The sequence below is a fragment of the Homo sapiens genome, chromosome 8, assembly GCF_000001405.40.
Source record: "Homo sapiens chromosome 8, GRCh38.p14 Primary Assembly".
Classification (NCBI taxonomy): domain Eukaryota; kingdom Metazoa; phylum Chordata; class Mammalia; order Primates; family Hominidae; genus Homo; species Homo sapiens.
The window spans coordinates 117,450,337-117,466,799 of NC_000008.11; the positions used below are offsets into that span (position 1 = coordinate 117,450,337).

The 16,463-nt window shown below is 35.7% G+C and overlaps 1 long non-coding RNA gene across 7 annotated transcripts in view; it reads right to left on the bottom strand.

Annotated features, from left to right (window-relative positions):
* The window catches only part of LOC105375716 (uncharacterized), a 436,284-nt gene that overhangs the window by 365,900 nt on the left and 53,921 nt on the right, over positions 1 to 16,463 (bottom strand). For 5 of the 7 annotated variants that reach the window (XR_928569.3, XR_928568.4, XR_928570.3 and 2 more), the window contains exon 3: positions 15,334 to 15,571. The exons of 1 other annotated variant lie outside the window; for it this stretch is intronic. This is a non-coding gene — a long non-coding RNA (uncharacterized LOC105375716). Of the gene's footprint in view, positions 1 to 821; positions 971 to 15,333; positions 15,572 to 16,463 lie in introns of all 7 variants that reach the window. One more of the 7 variants, XR_007061068.1, reaches the window with a different exon arrangement.

A 16,463-nucleotide genomic window follows, 5' to 3' on the forward strand; every position in this document is an offset into this window, starting at 1 on the left:
ATTAACACCCCAAAACCCCAACAATATAATTAATTTCCAGTGAAAATTATACTATAACTAAAACAGAAGTAACCTGGTAATTGATGGTGATTGCCTTGCAGCTATGTCTTGGCTGCCATCTCTAAAAAGGAAGCCAATTTTCCAAAAATGCATGTTAAATGCTGTACACAATTGATTCTGCATGTCATTAAGCCAAGGAGGATATTACTTACAGGGTTATTCATTTTTACTTTACTTTAATTAATGTTTAAAACCTCTAAATCACTTATAACAATTAAGACAATTAACTTTGGGGGGAACTATGGATTTGGAACCTCGTAACACTCTTTAAAATCGCTGATATTTTCTTCTTTTACTAGAATTCACTTTGATAAACCACAAGTCAGAATAGCAATGTATTTGGCTCCCTTTTTAAACACACTGTGTATGTTCCTATTGAATTTTAGTTTCCTTTTTAGAGTTCTGGGGAAAAAAAGAAATAGTAACCTTTCCACATATTTTACAAGGCTGAAATATTTTGATGGATCCTGATTACTGAAAGATTTTAAGTTCTATATTTCACATCAAATATACTTCTTTTTTATTGAGTGTTCTAATAAATAACAAAAAAAGCCTGGATCATGTGGTATTTTAGTTAGTAGAAGCACTACATATATAGATGTGTGTGTGTGTGTGTGTGTGTGTGTGTGTACTGTATCTAATTATAGTCTCTGAATAGGATCAAAATATTTCACATATTGGCATATTTATTTAAAATATCTTTCTAAAATATATGGAATAGAAAATAGTATAATAAATACCAGTATTTATTAAGCACTTACATTTCAGGTGCTTCATAGAATATGGCTCATTTAATCTTCATGATGGCCTTATCACACTGTTTTCAAACTTTACACAAGGGTCCTCTGTGCAACTTGGTAAAAAGGCAGATCCCCAGAGTCAATTCAGTCAGGATTCTGATTAAGTAGATCTGGAAGGATTTAAAGGATCTCTATTTTTAACAAACCTCTCCAGATTCCTCTGGTATAGGTAGCCTGTGGAACACACTGTAAGTAACATTGCCTATTAAATATTGCCTAGGCCGGGCGCGGTGGCTCACACCTGTAATCCCAGCACTTTGGGAGGCCGAGGCGGGTGGATCATGAGGTCAGGAGATCGAGACCATCCTGGCTAACAAGGTGAAACCCCGTCTCTACTAAAAAAAAAATACAAAAAAAATTAGCCGGGCGCGGTGGCGGGCGCCTGTAGTCCCAGCTACTCGGGAGGCTGAGGCAGGAGAATGGCGTGAACCCGGGAAGCGGAGCTTGCAGTGAGCCGAGATTGCGCCACTGCAGTCCGCAGTCCGGCCTGGGCGACAGAGCGAGACTCCGTCTCAAAAAAAAAAAAAAAAAAAAAAAAAAATATTGCCTAATAAAATTTGACCATAATCTTAGATGAATAAACTAAGAATCAAGAAACTTAAATATCTTGTTTAAGTTCCCCTATTCATGAAAAATAATGCTTTTGCTCTTGAGAGTAAGCATTTAAGTCTCATGAGGAATGGAGAAAAGGTTAAGAAATAGGAACAAAAACATGAGACAGTGGCATTGGAAAGTGATGACTATAAAAATAAGGAATAGTGGTGAGGTCTTTGGTTCTGGTCATGGCTGAGTATCTGGTATCAAACCTATCCTCTTCTTATCATAAATTGGTATAAAAGGTGGATAAAATATATAAAGTAAGTGTTTTCAGACACTGTTTAGCAATTAATCCTAGGCTCTGGCCATTGAAAGAAAGGAAACATGAAGGTGAGTACTACATTTACCCTGATTTTCACCCTGAGAGTATTTTCTAATCTAGGACAAAGAGAAATAAAGTCCTAAAAGACAGTGGCAGTCTTGCTGGATCAACTAAAACGTTTAGGGCTTCCAGGACACTTGGATTTCGAGATATGGTATTATATAAGAAGGACCCAAAAGCAAGAGGCACCAAAATGTATGTAGCCATTTCCCCTAGGACATTTGGCCAACTTCTAAAATGCAAACTTGTAAGGCAAGATTTCAAATGGCCTACCAGAGAAAAACTACTAGAAGGCTAAACAGCTTAGCAAAGGTTTCAAGCCTGCAGAGTATTAAGAAAATGTTGGAGGCTGGGCGGGGTGGTTCATACCTGTAATCCCAGCACTTTGAGGGGCCAAGGCGGGCGGATCACAAGGTCAGAAGTTGGAGACCAGCCTGTCCAACATAGGGAAACCCCATCTCCACTAAAAATACAAAAAAATAGCCGGGCGGGGTGGCATGCACCTGTAATCCTAGGTACTTGGGAGGCTGAGGCAGGAGAATCACTTGAACCTGGGAGGCAGAGGTTGCAGTGAGCTGAGATGGCACTACTGCACACCAGCTTTGGTGACAGTCCAAGACTCTGTCTCAAAAAAAATAAATAAATAAAAAAGAAAGAAAGAAAGGAAGAAAGAAAAGAAAATGTTGGATCTGAGGCCCAACAAGAGTACAGAGACCTTTGGGAACATCTCAGGCTTTCAGCTGAGACCTTGGAATGGCCATACTCTGGAAGTAATGACCATGTGCCAGCAGTAGGGGACACTCTCAGACATGAAGGGCAAAACTGCAATAGTTCCATCCTAATAAACTCTGGAAGCAAGCCTCATCAGAATCAAGTGGTCTTCCAGTAATTTAAATATGTATCAGAACAAAATTTAACTCCATTAACTCTCACTAGAGGATAACAACAACATCTAGAGACTTTATTACCCACAGTGTCCAGCACATAAAATAAAACTTACCAGACAGCAAAGGAGGATGATACAGTGACTAGTAATCAAGAGATTAAATAATCAATGGAAGAGACTGAGAGATATTACAGACATTGAAGTTAGTGAATAAAGTCTTTAAAATAACTATGATTAACATCTTAAATAATACAGAAGAAGAGATGGACAAAGTGGAGTATTTCAGTGGGGTATTAGACAAAAAGGACTCGAACTGGTATTAAAAATCTGTAAAATAAAATATCTGAAATTTAAAACTCATTGGATAAATAAAAAGTGGACTGGACACAGTGGAAGACAGTATTAGTGAATTAGAAAACTGTTCAGTAGAAAAATATCCAAGCAGAAGAATAGAGAGGAAAAAAAGAACCAGAAAACTGTGTAAGACACATGTGAGACACATTCAAAAGGCCTAACACATGTGTAATTAGAGTCCTAGAAGAAGAAAAAATATCCTCTATTTGAATAAAAGTTGGCTGAAAATTTTTCAAATATGATAAAAAAAGACAATAACCCATAAATTCAAGATATTTAGCAAACTTTATGCAGGATTTAAAATATAAAAATAAAAATCTAGGCACAATGTAGTCAAAGTAATTTATCAACAAAAAGCAAATAACAAATTTAGCCAGAACAAAAAGGGTACTAGCTTCAAAGGATCAATAGTAAAAATAAAGTACATTTTTGCATAGAAACTTAGAAATTTCTTTAAACAGCAGAAAGAAAAAGTGCTACCAATTTAGAAGTCTATACCCATAAAATATCCTTCAAAAATAAAGTCAAAGACAATAGAAAGTAAGAATGAAAAAAAACTGAAAGAAAGATAAAAGTAATTTTATCTTGAAAGAAATTTATTCTCAGTAGACTTATAAAAATAAATGGAGAACAACAGAAAAGGGTGAATATTTACACTATTCTGCAGGTTTATTGAATAAAGAAGCATTCAATGAAGGGCTCCATTTTCTCAAAGAATTGTCGTATCACTGAAGCATGAGGAATATTATTGAATTAGACTCAGAAATTTTAATTCAAGTCTTCCTATAAACTTTAAAATGTGTTAATTTTATTATGACAATTTGTTAGTAACTAACAAGATGAAGTATAGCGATGAAATTGACCCAATCCAACATAATAATCATAAGTCATATATGCCAGAATCTGGTCTGCTAAATCTCCAGTTTTCATTTTCATGACCTCAGGAACTGCTACATAAATCAGCATGTTCTCACGACAGACATTTCGTGACATGTTGTCTGAAATTAACAGAGAAAGAAATTCAATGTGCAATTGTGGTTTCATTCGGTAGACTGTAAGCTTTGATTGCGTGCCCACTGAGGGCAAAGAATCAGAAGTAGCTCCCTCTAAATACAGATACAAGAAGCAGATGACACTATGCAGGATGGATCAGCTCTAACTGCCTGGAAAATAATGCATATCAAAGAAGGGGAGTCGTTGAGGGTTGTTACAGAATTTTACCTTCTAAATTTCCTATTCGTGTATCATTTATTGATGATTGACTTTGTACTTGATGCTGTCCTAACTACTGGGAAAAAAATATTAAGTCAACAAAGTCTCTCTCAAGAATTTATAGTCTATTAGGAAAAGAGATAAACAGAAAAACAAATAAACGTGATGAAGCATCCTAGGTAGCATAATAGAAATCTAGAAGGTTACAGTGTGACACAAAGGAGAAAATAAGCAATTAATCCTGGGATATGTCAGAAAAGTGTTCATAGGGGAGGTGACATGAGTTCTAAATTCTGAAAGATGAGAGGCCATCTGCCAATGGCTATGAAGGAGAAAAATATGTCAGACAGAAGAGTCAGAAAAGAAGGGCATGGGTTAGAAAAATAGTATTACTAATTTGGGGGTGAATCTGACACTCTGTGAGGTGAGGCATGGTTAAAAGGGATGCTGTAGAAGTTCACAGAAGAGGGATTATTGAGTATATCCTATGCCATGTATAAAATACAGGGTATTATTTTGATGGCAAAAAATGATATTACACAGTCCGAACCCTCTTCAAAAGAAGTAAATATAACTGAGCTCTATTAAAACTGCACTGTCCAAAAACCACATGATTATCTCAATAGATGCAGAAAAGGCCTTTGACAAAATTCAACAGCCCTTCATGCTAAAAACTCAATAAATTAGGTATTGATGGGATGTATCTCAAAATAATAAGAGCTATTTATGACAAACCCACAGCCAATATCATACTGAATGGACAAAAACTGGAAGCATTCCCTTTGAAAACTGGCACAAGACACGGATGTCCTCCCTCACCACTCCTATTCAACATAGTGTTGGAAGTTCTGGCCAGGGCAATCAGGCAGGAGAAGGAAATAAAGGGTATTCAATTAGAAAAAGAGGAAGTCAAATTGTCTCTGTTTGCAGATGACATGATTGTATATATCTAGAATACCCCATTGTCTCGCCCAAAGTCTCCTTAAGCTGATAAGCAACTTCAGCAAAGTCTCAGGATACAAAAGCAATGTGCAAAAATCACAAGCATTCTTATACACCAATAACAGACAAACAGAGAGCCAAATCATGGTGAACTCCCATTCACAATTGCTTCAAAGAGAATAAAATACCTAGGAATCTGACTTACAAGGGATGTGAAGGACCTCTTCAGGGAGAACTACAAACCACTGCTCAACGAAATAAAAGAGGACACAAACAAATGGAAGAATATTCCATGCTCATGGATAGGAAGAATCAATATCGTGAAAATGGCCATACTGCCCAAGGTAATTTATAGATTCAATGCCATCCCCATCAAGCTACCAATGACTTTCTTCACAGAATTGGAAAAAACTACTTTAAACTTCATATGGAACCAAAAAAGGGCCTGCATTGCTAAGACAATCCTAAGCCAAAAGAACAAAGCTGGAGGCATCACACTACCTGACTTCAAACTATACTACAAGGCTATAGTAACCAAAACAGCATGGTACTGGTACCAAAACAGAGATACAGACCAATGGAACAGAACAGAACCCTCAGAAATAATACCACACATCTACAACTATCTGATCTTTGACAAACCTGAGAAAAACAAGAAATGGGGAAAGGATTCCCTATTTAATAAATGGTGCTGGGAAAACTGGCTAGCCATATGTAGAAAGCTGAAACTGGATCCCTTCCTTACACCTTATACAAAAATTAATTCAAGATGGAATAAAGACTTAAATGTTAGACCTAAAACCATAAAAACCCTAGAAGAAAACCTAGGCAATACCATTCAGGACATAGGCATGGGCAAGGATTTCATGTCTAAAACACCAAAAGCAATGGCAACAAAAGCCAAAACTGACAAATGGGATCTAAACTAAAGAGCTTCTGCACAGCAAAAGAAACTACCATCAGAGTAAACAGGCAACCTACAGAATGGGAGAAAATTTTTGCAATCTAGTCATCTGACAAAGGGCTAATATCCAGAATCTACAAAGAACTCAAACAAATTTACAAGAAAAAAACAACAATCCCATCACAAAGTGGGTGAAGGATATGAACAGACACTTCTTAAAAGAAGACATTTATGCAGCCAACAGACATATGAAAAAATGCTCATCATCACTGGCCATCAGAGAAATGCAAATCAAAACCACAATGAGATATCAACTCACACCAGTTAGAATGGTGATCATTAAAAAGTCAGGAAACAACAGGTGCTGGAGAAGATGTGGAGAAATAGGAAACTTTTACACTGTTGGTGGGACTGTAAAGTAGTTCATCCATTGTGGAAGACAGTGTGGCGATTCCTCAAGGATCTAGAACTAGAGATACCATTTGACCCAGCCATCCCATTACTGGGTATATACCCAAAGGATTATAAATCATGCTGCTATAAAGACACATGCACACATATGTTTATTGCGGCACTATTCACAATAGCAAAGGCTTGGAACCAACCCAAATGTCCATCAATGATAGGCTGGATTAAGAAAATGTGGCACATATACACCATGGAATATTTATAATAGTATCAAAAATTGTAAAATACCTAAGGATAAACTTAACCAAGGAGGTAAAAGACTTACAGTGAAAACTACAATATGCTGATGAAAGAAATTAAAGAAGATACAAATAAATAGAAAGATATCCCATGTACACAAATTGGAAGACCTACTATGGTTAAAATGTCTGTATTACCCACAGATATATACAGATTCTATCCTATTTCCATCAAAATCCCAGTGACACTTTTTATAGAAATAGAACAAACAATCCAAAATTTATATGAAACAACAAAAGACCCAGAATAGCCAAAGTGATCTTGACAAAGAACAAAGATGGAAGCATCACATTTATTGATTTCAAAATATATTATAAAGCTACAGTAATAAAAACAATATGGTAGCGGTATAAAGATATATATAAAACAATGGAACAGAAGAGAGAGCCCAGAAATATATCGAGACATGCATGGTCCATTGATCTACAAAGTACACAATGGGAAAAGGAGAGTCCCTTGCAAAAATAGTGCTAAGAAAATTGAATATTGACATGCAAACGAAAGAACTTGGACCCTTATCTTATACCACACACAAAAAACTAACTTGGAATAGCTTAAAGACTTAAATATAAGATCTGAGAGTGTGGAATTCCTAGAAGCAAACAAAGGGGAAATTTTTATGACATTGGTCTTGGCAATGATTTCTTGGATATGATGCCAAAAGCATTTTAGTTTTATATACATCAAACTTAAATGGTTCTGCATAACAAAGGAAGCATTCAACAGAGTGAAAAAGCAACCCACAGAATGGGAGGAAAATATTTGCCAACCATATATTTGATAAAGAATTAATGTTCAAAATATATGAGCAACTTATATAACTTAATAGCAAAAAACAGAAGAAATATTTTTATTAAAAAATGGGCAAAGGACTTCAATAAACATTTTTTACAAAGAAGATACACAAATGTCCAACACTTGTAAGTGAAAAGGTAGTCAATATCACTAATCAGTAGAGAAATGTAAATCAAAACCACAATGAGATATCACCTCATACCTGTTAGGATACTACTATCAAAAAGACAAGGGCTAACAAGGGTTAGTGAGAGTTTGGAAAAAAGAGAACCCTTGTACACTGTTGGTGTGAATGTAAATCAGCACGGTCATTATGGAACAGCATGGAGGCCTCTCATAAAATTACAAATAGAACTACAGTATTATCCAGCAATCTAACTTCTGGATGTATGTCCAAAAGAAATGAAGTCAACATCTTAAAGAGATATCTGCACTCCCATGTTCATTGCAGCATTACTCACAATAGCTAAGATACAGAAACAACATAAGTGTCCATTGGTGGATGAAGAAAATGTGATGCATAGATATCATATATTTATATATCTGTATGTGGGTGTAATGAACCATTATTCAGCCATAAAAAAGGAGGAAACTCCACCATTTGCAACAACATGAATGAATCTGGAGGACATTATGCTAAATGAAATAAGCAGAGACAGAAAGACAAATATTGTATAATATCATTTATATGTGAAATCTAAAAAAGTCAAACTCATAAACGCAAAGTCTAGAATGGTGGTTGCCAAAAGCCAGGTGGGAGGTGCATGGAATAGGGTGATATTGGTCAAAGGGTACAAACTTTCAGTTATAAGATGACAAAGTTCTAGGGATCTCATGTACAGCATGGTGGCTGTAGTTGTCAGTTCTGCATTGTATACCTGAAACTTGCTCAAGATTAGATCTTAAATGTTCTCACCACACACAAAAAGGAAACCACATGAAATGATGAATGTTTTAATTAGCTTTATTGTGATCATTTCATTTAGTGAATATATGTATGTATATCAAATCATCACAGTGCACACCTTAAATATATACAATTTTTATTTTCCATTATACCTCAATAAAGCTGTTCATGGTTAATTCTGAGGCAATCCAAGAGGTAAAATCATTGATTTAATAGTTTACATTTTGCTTTTTTAAGGAAGCAGATGGAATTGGATTGGGGTCAGAAGTCCTGGGTTCTAGTATATTGTCCATCAATTTTACTAATAGCATTTTCTTTTCAAGCTTTTAATTTTAATCTGTTATGTGATCATTGTATGTGCCTTTTCTAAGTCATAGGATTATTTAAGAGGCTCAAGTGAAATAATTAAAGTAAAAGTATGGGATATATTACAAACCACTATATAAACATAAAATACTGTTATAAGAACCTTCCTTCCTTCCTTCCTTCCTTCCTTTTTTTGGAAACCACAATAAAATATTTTCCATTATTTTATCTCTTACATATATATATAGTTGTTTTTTAGTGCCAAAAAAAGGTGTTAATGTTCTTGATAAAATTTTAAGATGCTTACTGTTGTTGTTGTTGTTGCTCTTGTTGTTTTAATTTGACAATACTAGATGACCTCCCACTGTGCCTTTTATAACATGGAGTCCAAAGCTAAATATGTAGTTCATAACAGGAAGCTCACCCAAATGCCTCCTCTCACATCTCTTTATTTTTTTAATCTCTTATTTAATTCCCTCTATTTTTTGTTGTAGTTTAACATCATAAGTCATTTCTGGTTCTGTTTTTAATTATCTACTTACACCTCATCTCATTCTAGAAAGGATTAAAACATTCATATTTAGAAGTAGATTAAAAATAATATGCCACAAATAAGGATAATGTATTCAGCCTCTAGTGTAATAAACACTCCTAGTTGATTCCCTGTCCAGAATCTTCCGAGGTCTCAATCTCTCACACTCTCTTAGCTGCCTTAAGAAGCATCCCTTTAACATGTTTCTTTTTCTCTCTCTCCCTCTCTCTCATTATTTCTCATTTTTTTTGGACTTTCTCTTGCTGTTCTGCCTTCAGCCAATCTTCTTGTCTCTATTCTGTCTTTCTTCTTTCTGTCTCTATTACCAGGTCATTGGATGTCTTAGTGGAGGAGCTATAACTTTTCAAAATTTCTCCACCAGGTCAGTTCATTACTTGTTGCTTAGTGAACATTTCAGTGTTAGAAGATTGATGCTAGGAATGCACATTTGTGTGCAGTATAGAAATGTCTTAGCCTTGCCCTGATAAATTGTGTGTGTGTGTGTGTGTGTGTGTGTGTGTGTTTAAATCATGAGATGATCTGTGATTGCACTTCAGATTCAAAGTGATTGGACCCTACACACATTTCCATGAAGCCCATTTATCATCTGGGAGTTTTGAAGATTTGATTATGACAAAAAAATAGGGAGAATTCTGGCTTCACACATTTTTGTCATAATGAAATTCTTCCCCACCAGCTACTTCACTTTGGGACCCTAAAAATACAGTCCATTAGACAAGCGAAAAATTTATAGCTGATGCCCTCTTCTTCAATTTCTTGCTTCTGGTGCAGGCCCCACCTCTCATAATTTCACCTCAAGCAGTCTTGCTGGCAGCCAGAACTTACAAAATGGCCTGTTTTCATTAGATGTACAGAAACCATTGGTTGTTAAGAGCAACTCTACTTTCTAAAAGGAAAGAATGCGTTGTTAAAGGAGGTACAGAGCAGAGGCTTGGGTGGCAAACTGGACATAAAATTTACTGAGAAACATCCAGTGTTTCCTTTAAATTCTGCACAAAACCTAACACATTTCTGGAGCTCTTAATCTCACAGTGTTAACAGTTTGAGTGAAGGAGGAGGAGCCACAGGGAGTGTGGCTTTGCTTAACTAAAAACCCCTAAATACTGTGCCGTTCCCTCCCTAAGAGGGATTATAGAGAGTGCAAATGGAAGACTTGAATTATTTATGAAAACTGTTAATCACAGGCATGGTTGCCAAGGGAATGAGGCAATGTGTCCTCAGGTAGACAGTCTCCTGCCAAAAATCTGACTTCTTTTTCTTTTCTTCTTTTGCTAATTCCAGTGATCTGTTAAAACTTTTCAACGGTAGATCCTGGAGATTACATGTTTAATGTGGCAAAAAAACCTAGAAACACCTCCAACAAAACTGAGACAGAAGTAGCTTACAAATGAGAGCTCAGGTGGGAATAGAAGCTGTTTTCAAGATGGAGAGTACAAAAAAATGAGGGACTGAGGCCCCTCTATTCAAAGAAATGTGGTTATTTTACCTGTATGCTTTGTTTCACAGCTATGATGTCATCTCTTGTGATACTGACATTCCTTAGAGGAATTATGAGGAAAAAAACAGATTCGATCAAGCAAAGGATAATTTTCATTCTCATAAGCCTCATTCTCTCTATTTCCAAAATGGAAAAAGAAATGCAGACATCAGGGTTGCTCTTTCCTTGCAGGGATACCTTAAAGATGTAAAATTGCAATAAGCACAGAATTATGTATCAATCTTGTTATACTGTGGACAGAGACACATTTGCAAAATGCAAATCTGATCATATCACAGATCTCCTGGTTTAAAACATTTCAATGATTTCTATCTCTCTAGAGTTAAAGATGAGAATCTTTATCCCATCCCAGGCAAGCTATGCCCTGCATGATCTGGCTCTATGCCAAAACCCTTCCTAGCTCCTTCATCCAACCACACTGGTCCTCCTTCAGTCTTTCATAAGCTTTGTGGTTACTTGAGCTGCAGGATTTTTGCAGAAACAATTCTCCCTGTCAGGAATGATCTTCCCTCCTATCTTCACCTAGTTAACCCACTCATTCTTCCAAGTTTATTTCCTGAGGAAAGCCTGGGCAACATATCTAAGACATATTTCCCTCTTACATGCTTGTATAGTTCCTCTCCTTGGTAATACTGGACTTATGTCTTGTTTACTAACATGTATTTGTGGGATTGTATGTTTAAATCTCTCAACAATACTCCAAACTCTGCTTTTGTTCACCATTTTATCTCTAGGATCTAACAATTAAATAGTACATATCTAATGTATCGTGAAGAAAGAAAAAAAAACAGATAAAATGTGTGAAAAATTTTTAAAAATGAAGGAGACAAAACAAGGAAAAAGAGAAGGAAAGAGGAAAAGAAGAAGAAGGAAGACCATCTAATTGAAGCAGAAACATTGAAGTCAATGATTATTTGATGTAAAACAAATCTAGCAGCACAGTTAAAACTATTTATTAGACTAATAAAGGTACTTTTTGTTTCTTTTTACTTTCCCAAGGTACCATTTCATCCTTTCTTAAAATCCACCTCCACCACACATGGCTACTCTATACTGCTAGTCTATAAGCAAAAGCTTGTTTACTGTGTTATTATCGTAGAATACTGGCATGGATTAAGATGAAGCAGGCTCTGAAAATAGTCAATGAGTCAGATTTTAATATAGATGAATCTAGCATTCATTACACGATGTTGGAACCTTACATATCACATGAATTAGGAGAATCTTTTCTTGTAAAAAGGCCAGTTCTTTTATGTAAATTTCTCCATATATTACTGGTAAATAGGGAAAGATGTTCTTATAACACAGAAGTATTGTTGGTTCTTATATATTGTTTCCCAGTAGCTTAATGTTTTAAAGTTATCCACGGCAAACTTTGTCGCAAATAAAGAAAAAGCATAGCAACCCACGATGATCTTAAGAAAAATGCTAAGAAATCTACAAAGGCACTTTTCTTTAGTGCTTCAAGCACATGTCTACATATTCAATTTTGTTAAACTTGCTGGTGAAAGTGCCAACACAGATTCAGAAGCTGCAGACATTAATCCCCATATTAAAATAATGGATTAACAAAACAGGCTACACATTGGATCTGATTTTTAGTTTTAATAAAAATGGTCCATATTGGAAGGACGATTTTTACATTTCAAAGGAGCAAGTAAAAGCCCCACGTTTTAAAATTGCTAATGACCAATCATCTCTGAAGCCACGTGCCAATGCTATTAGAGGGTTATCTATGCCAGCTTTTTTAAAATAGTAATTGTCTCAGTGTTTTTAGTGCTCTACTTTCCAAATTTCACAGTCTTGAGTCATCTCTCCACACCTTATTTTTCCCATAGACCTTATTATTTTCAGTGTCCAATTTTGCAGAATGTAAGGTTATTCAATAGTGCAAACATTGGCATTAGAGTAGAAATGCCTGTATCTGTGTTTTATGCCATTGTGTCTGGCTAGAAAGAGCTAAGATTTTTGTCTAGCTACCTGATTATGTTCAAGAACTTTTGAAATTAAGAAAAATATGTATTGTTTCAATATTTGAGCTGACTTCTATAGAATCTAGTCAAGTGAGAACTTAGGACTTTTGATTTTAAGTGAAGGTACGATTTTACTCTGGTCAGCAGAAAACATTCCCCAACTACCTCCATACGTTTTGTAGGGGTCAGTATTATTCATCTCCCAAATTTTGTATTTGGGTCTTTTACAATTACAAATCTTTTCTTTAAAATGATATAACTCTATATCTGTTTATAATCCTAATACCCCCAAGGCCCTGGATAGCTAGACTCCTTCTCTGTTTCTCCATAATGTCCTAGGAGATTTTATATACAAACTTTTCCTGATAAGCTATATACATATATCTCTATCATTCATATATATATTACAGAGGTATGCAGATTAGGCCCTACCATAACCTTGCTTCAAAGATATAACTATGCATAGACATCTGTTCACTTGAAGAAGCTCAATGTTTCTCCCACTAATGAGCCAAAATACCCAAGGGTAGATTTACACCAGTTTATACAAATATGGCACAAAAACCATTAGCCTTGAATGTCCTCTTAGAGAAGGTGATCATCTTTACAACCACTTCCCCTTGAACATGCATGTAAACACACACACACATACACACATATGTTAAAACAACAAAACCCATGATTTACAGTGTAGTATTCGAATAAAGAGGAAATCCTCTGGAAAACCAACTTCAAACTCTGGGTTTGTCCATCTATGTAACCTTGAGAAAATTACCAAGCTTCTGTGAATCTCCATTTCTCCATCTCTAAAGGGGGATAGGAATACTATACACACCGTAATAAAGAGCATTGTAAAAATTAAAGCAAATAAGGTGATGAAAGTGAATCCCGTCTTAGTACCTGGCACATAGTAAGTGTTCAATAAATGTTTGATATTCAAATAATCCACAAATATTTATAGAACATTTGCTGTATACCGAACATTAGACCATGTTCTGGGAATAAAGAAATAAAAGATGGGATTCCTGCACTGTATGAGTTTACATCCTAACAATAGTACTGGTAAGCAAATAAAATCAAGCTACTGTTGTTGAAGAATGCATATAAGGGCCAGAGGCACTCAAGGAGGGCCACACAAACCAGACTCAAAGAGTTAACGAAGGTTTCCCTGAGAAGTAATACTTGATCTGAACCTTAAGGACTAAGTAGACATTAGCTAGGTAAAGAACATGGTAAACACTATTCTAGGCAGAGGGAACATGTTTAAAGACATGGAGGCAATGAAGTCTGCATGACAAATTCAAAGAAATGCAAATAATTGACAATCTATCTAGAGGATGGATAAAGTTGACAGCCCATTATCTTGGAACTTATGCTTTCACTGGTATTGTTTATTTCACTGTTTTATAATTGTCTGGTTGTTTATCTTTGTCATCTACACTATGGCCCATGAAGACAGGAACACTATCTTGTGCAATGTTGTAACTCAAGCAAAAACTGCAGTAGCTAGAACACAGAAGGAATGCAATAAATGTTTGAAGAAGTAAATGAATGCTACCTGTCCCAAAGTGTTCATTTTTAAATACAGAAGCATAGACTCAGAGAGGTTAATTCACTTATCTAAAGATACATGGTAAACCTGATATCAGACTCTGAACTACCACCCTTCTGTCAAGTCTGCATGATACCACTTCCATTGTAAGTGGGCAAAAATTGCCATTGAATTGTATCAGAGAATCATGAGAAGAAGTCATATGATAGCATTCAATACAGCTCTAGGCATTTAACCAGTCTGAAATTTCCGAATTAGAAATGCAATTTACTCTTTTCTGAGATCATTCGGTAACTGAGGATTGAAGCACAGAGACACACAAATTATAAACTTTATAAATTCTACTCCGGTAACTGGGAAGAAACAATATACTTTTGAGAATTAAACAGATTTTTTTCTCTTCTAGAAGATCCAAGACCTGTCGTTGTAAAACTTTATTAGATGAGAGTCACAATAATAATATTTAGGAATGAGAGGCATTTCCATAATAAAAGTTTACAGGAAAGCAGTGTTAAGCCAATAAGCCTGAGTCTGTTTTCAGAGACTCAGAGGCAGAGGACTAAGGAAGTCTTAAGTAGCCCATAGAACTTCCAAATACATCCAGATAGAAATAAGATTTTCTTACACAGAAATCTGTAAGAATACTATTTATTTCGCCCACTGGTCTAATTATAAGTGTCTTCACTTCAGCAGCTTGTTGGAGGCAAGCCTCTTAAAGATCTTTGTGTACAACAATTCCTGAAGAGGTTCTCTAATGTACCTTTATTAAGATTAACAAGGATTGTTTGAGAATCGAACTCACATGCAAGAATGAGAACTAATATAGTTTACTATAGAATTAACCTAAACATAACTATTCAATAAGCTATACATAATATTCAGAATCCCAAGTCTTCCTCATTAGAAACAAGCCCACCATGACCAAAGGAAATACTTTTCTTCTTGTTTTGTCAGGATTTCTTACCTTTCATTGACCCTCTTCCTTGTCTTTAGAACTGCTTTACTTTCATTTCTTCATATGTCTAAATGGCTGTTTGGAATTACAAAAGAACTGCTTTGATTCGACTTCTCATAGTTCAGATCTTAAGTGGAGAATGCTCATCAAGTCTATTGCTCAGTCTGGCAGAATCCTTGGCTCTTTGAAGATTCCAGGCCCTCACAATTTCATGAGATATTAGTTTCCCTTAAAAGCTGGATGAAAGCTTGGATTCAGTAGTTGAGACAGAGGCAGAAGTAAGATAAAAGAAGGAGAAAAGATCATAATTAATACTGGCACAAGTTAAGAGAGGAAGGCAAAGATATCTTGAGGGACTGAAATAGGAAAACAAAAAAAGTACATGCACAGTGAGCACAACACAGCATATGGCAATCAAAGGGATGCTTGCTCATGGTACATGGTTTAAAGAGAAAAAAAATAGGGCTTATATTTGCTGGTTGTTTCTAAAAGAAGGGCCTGGATAGCTTGGTAATGGCTTCCCATTCTGCATAATCAAACTCATGTTAAACAGACATCAATACTCTTTAAGTACTTTAATAAACTTGATTCTAATACTTCAGAATCTCTTCACATAATGAGGATAGTATGTGGGAATATTAAAATTCTAAAAAAAGTTTGCTTCATCCAATATGATTCAAAATGGAAGGCAACTTAACGTGTTGTTCAAGATCCTTGATTGTGTACAAATCCAGATATCTTTCGTTATTGCCTTTGTGAATAGGCAAAGTAATTAACCTTTCTATTTCCTAGTTCCCTCAACTGCAAAATTGAAACAACCAGACCTACCTAATTCATTTACTTACTTAGCAAATATTTATTAAGGGCCTATAAACTGCCAATCACCATCATAGGCACTGGGAAATGCTGCAAAGAGCAATATGTAGAAAAATCCTAGCTTTCATGGGGCTTCTATTCTAGTGTGCTATGGGGATTGAGCTATTGCAGATAAAGAAATTAGCACCTCTCTGGCACATTTGGTATCCAGCAGGACTAATGAGTCCTGCAGAATGCCTTTCACCAGCTACTTCTTTCTCACGGATGGTGTGTGTGCATGTGTGTGTATGTGTGTGTGCACGCACACAACTTTGGGCCTTTGA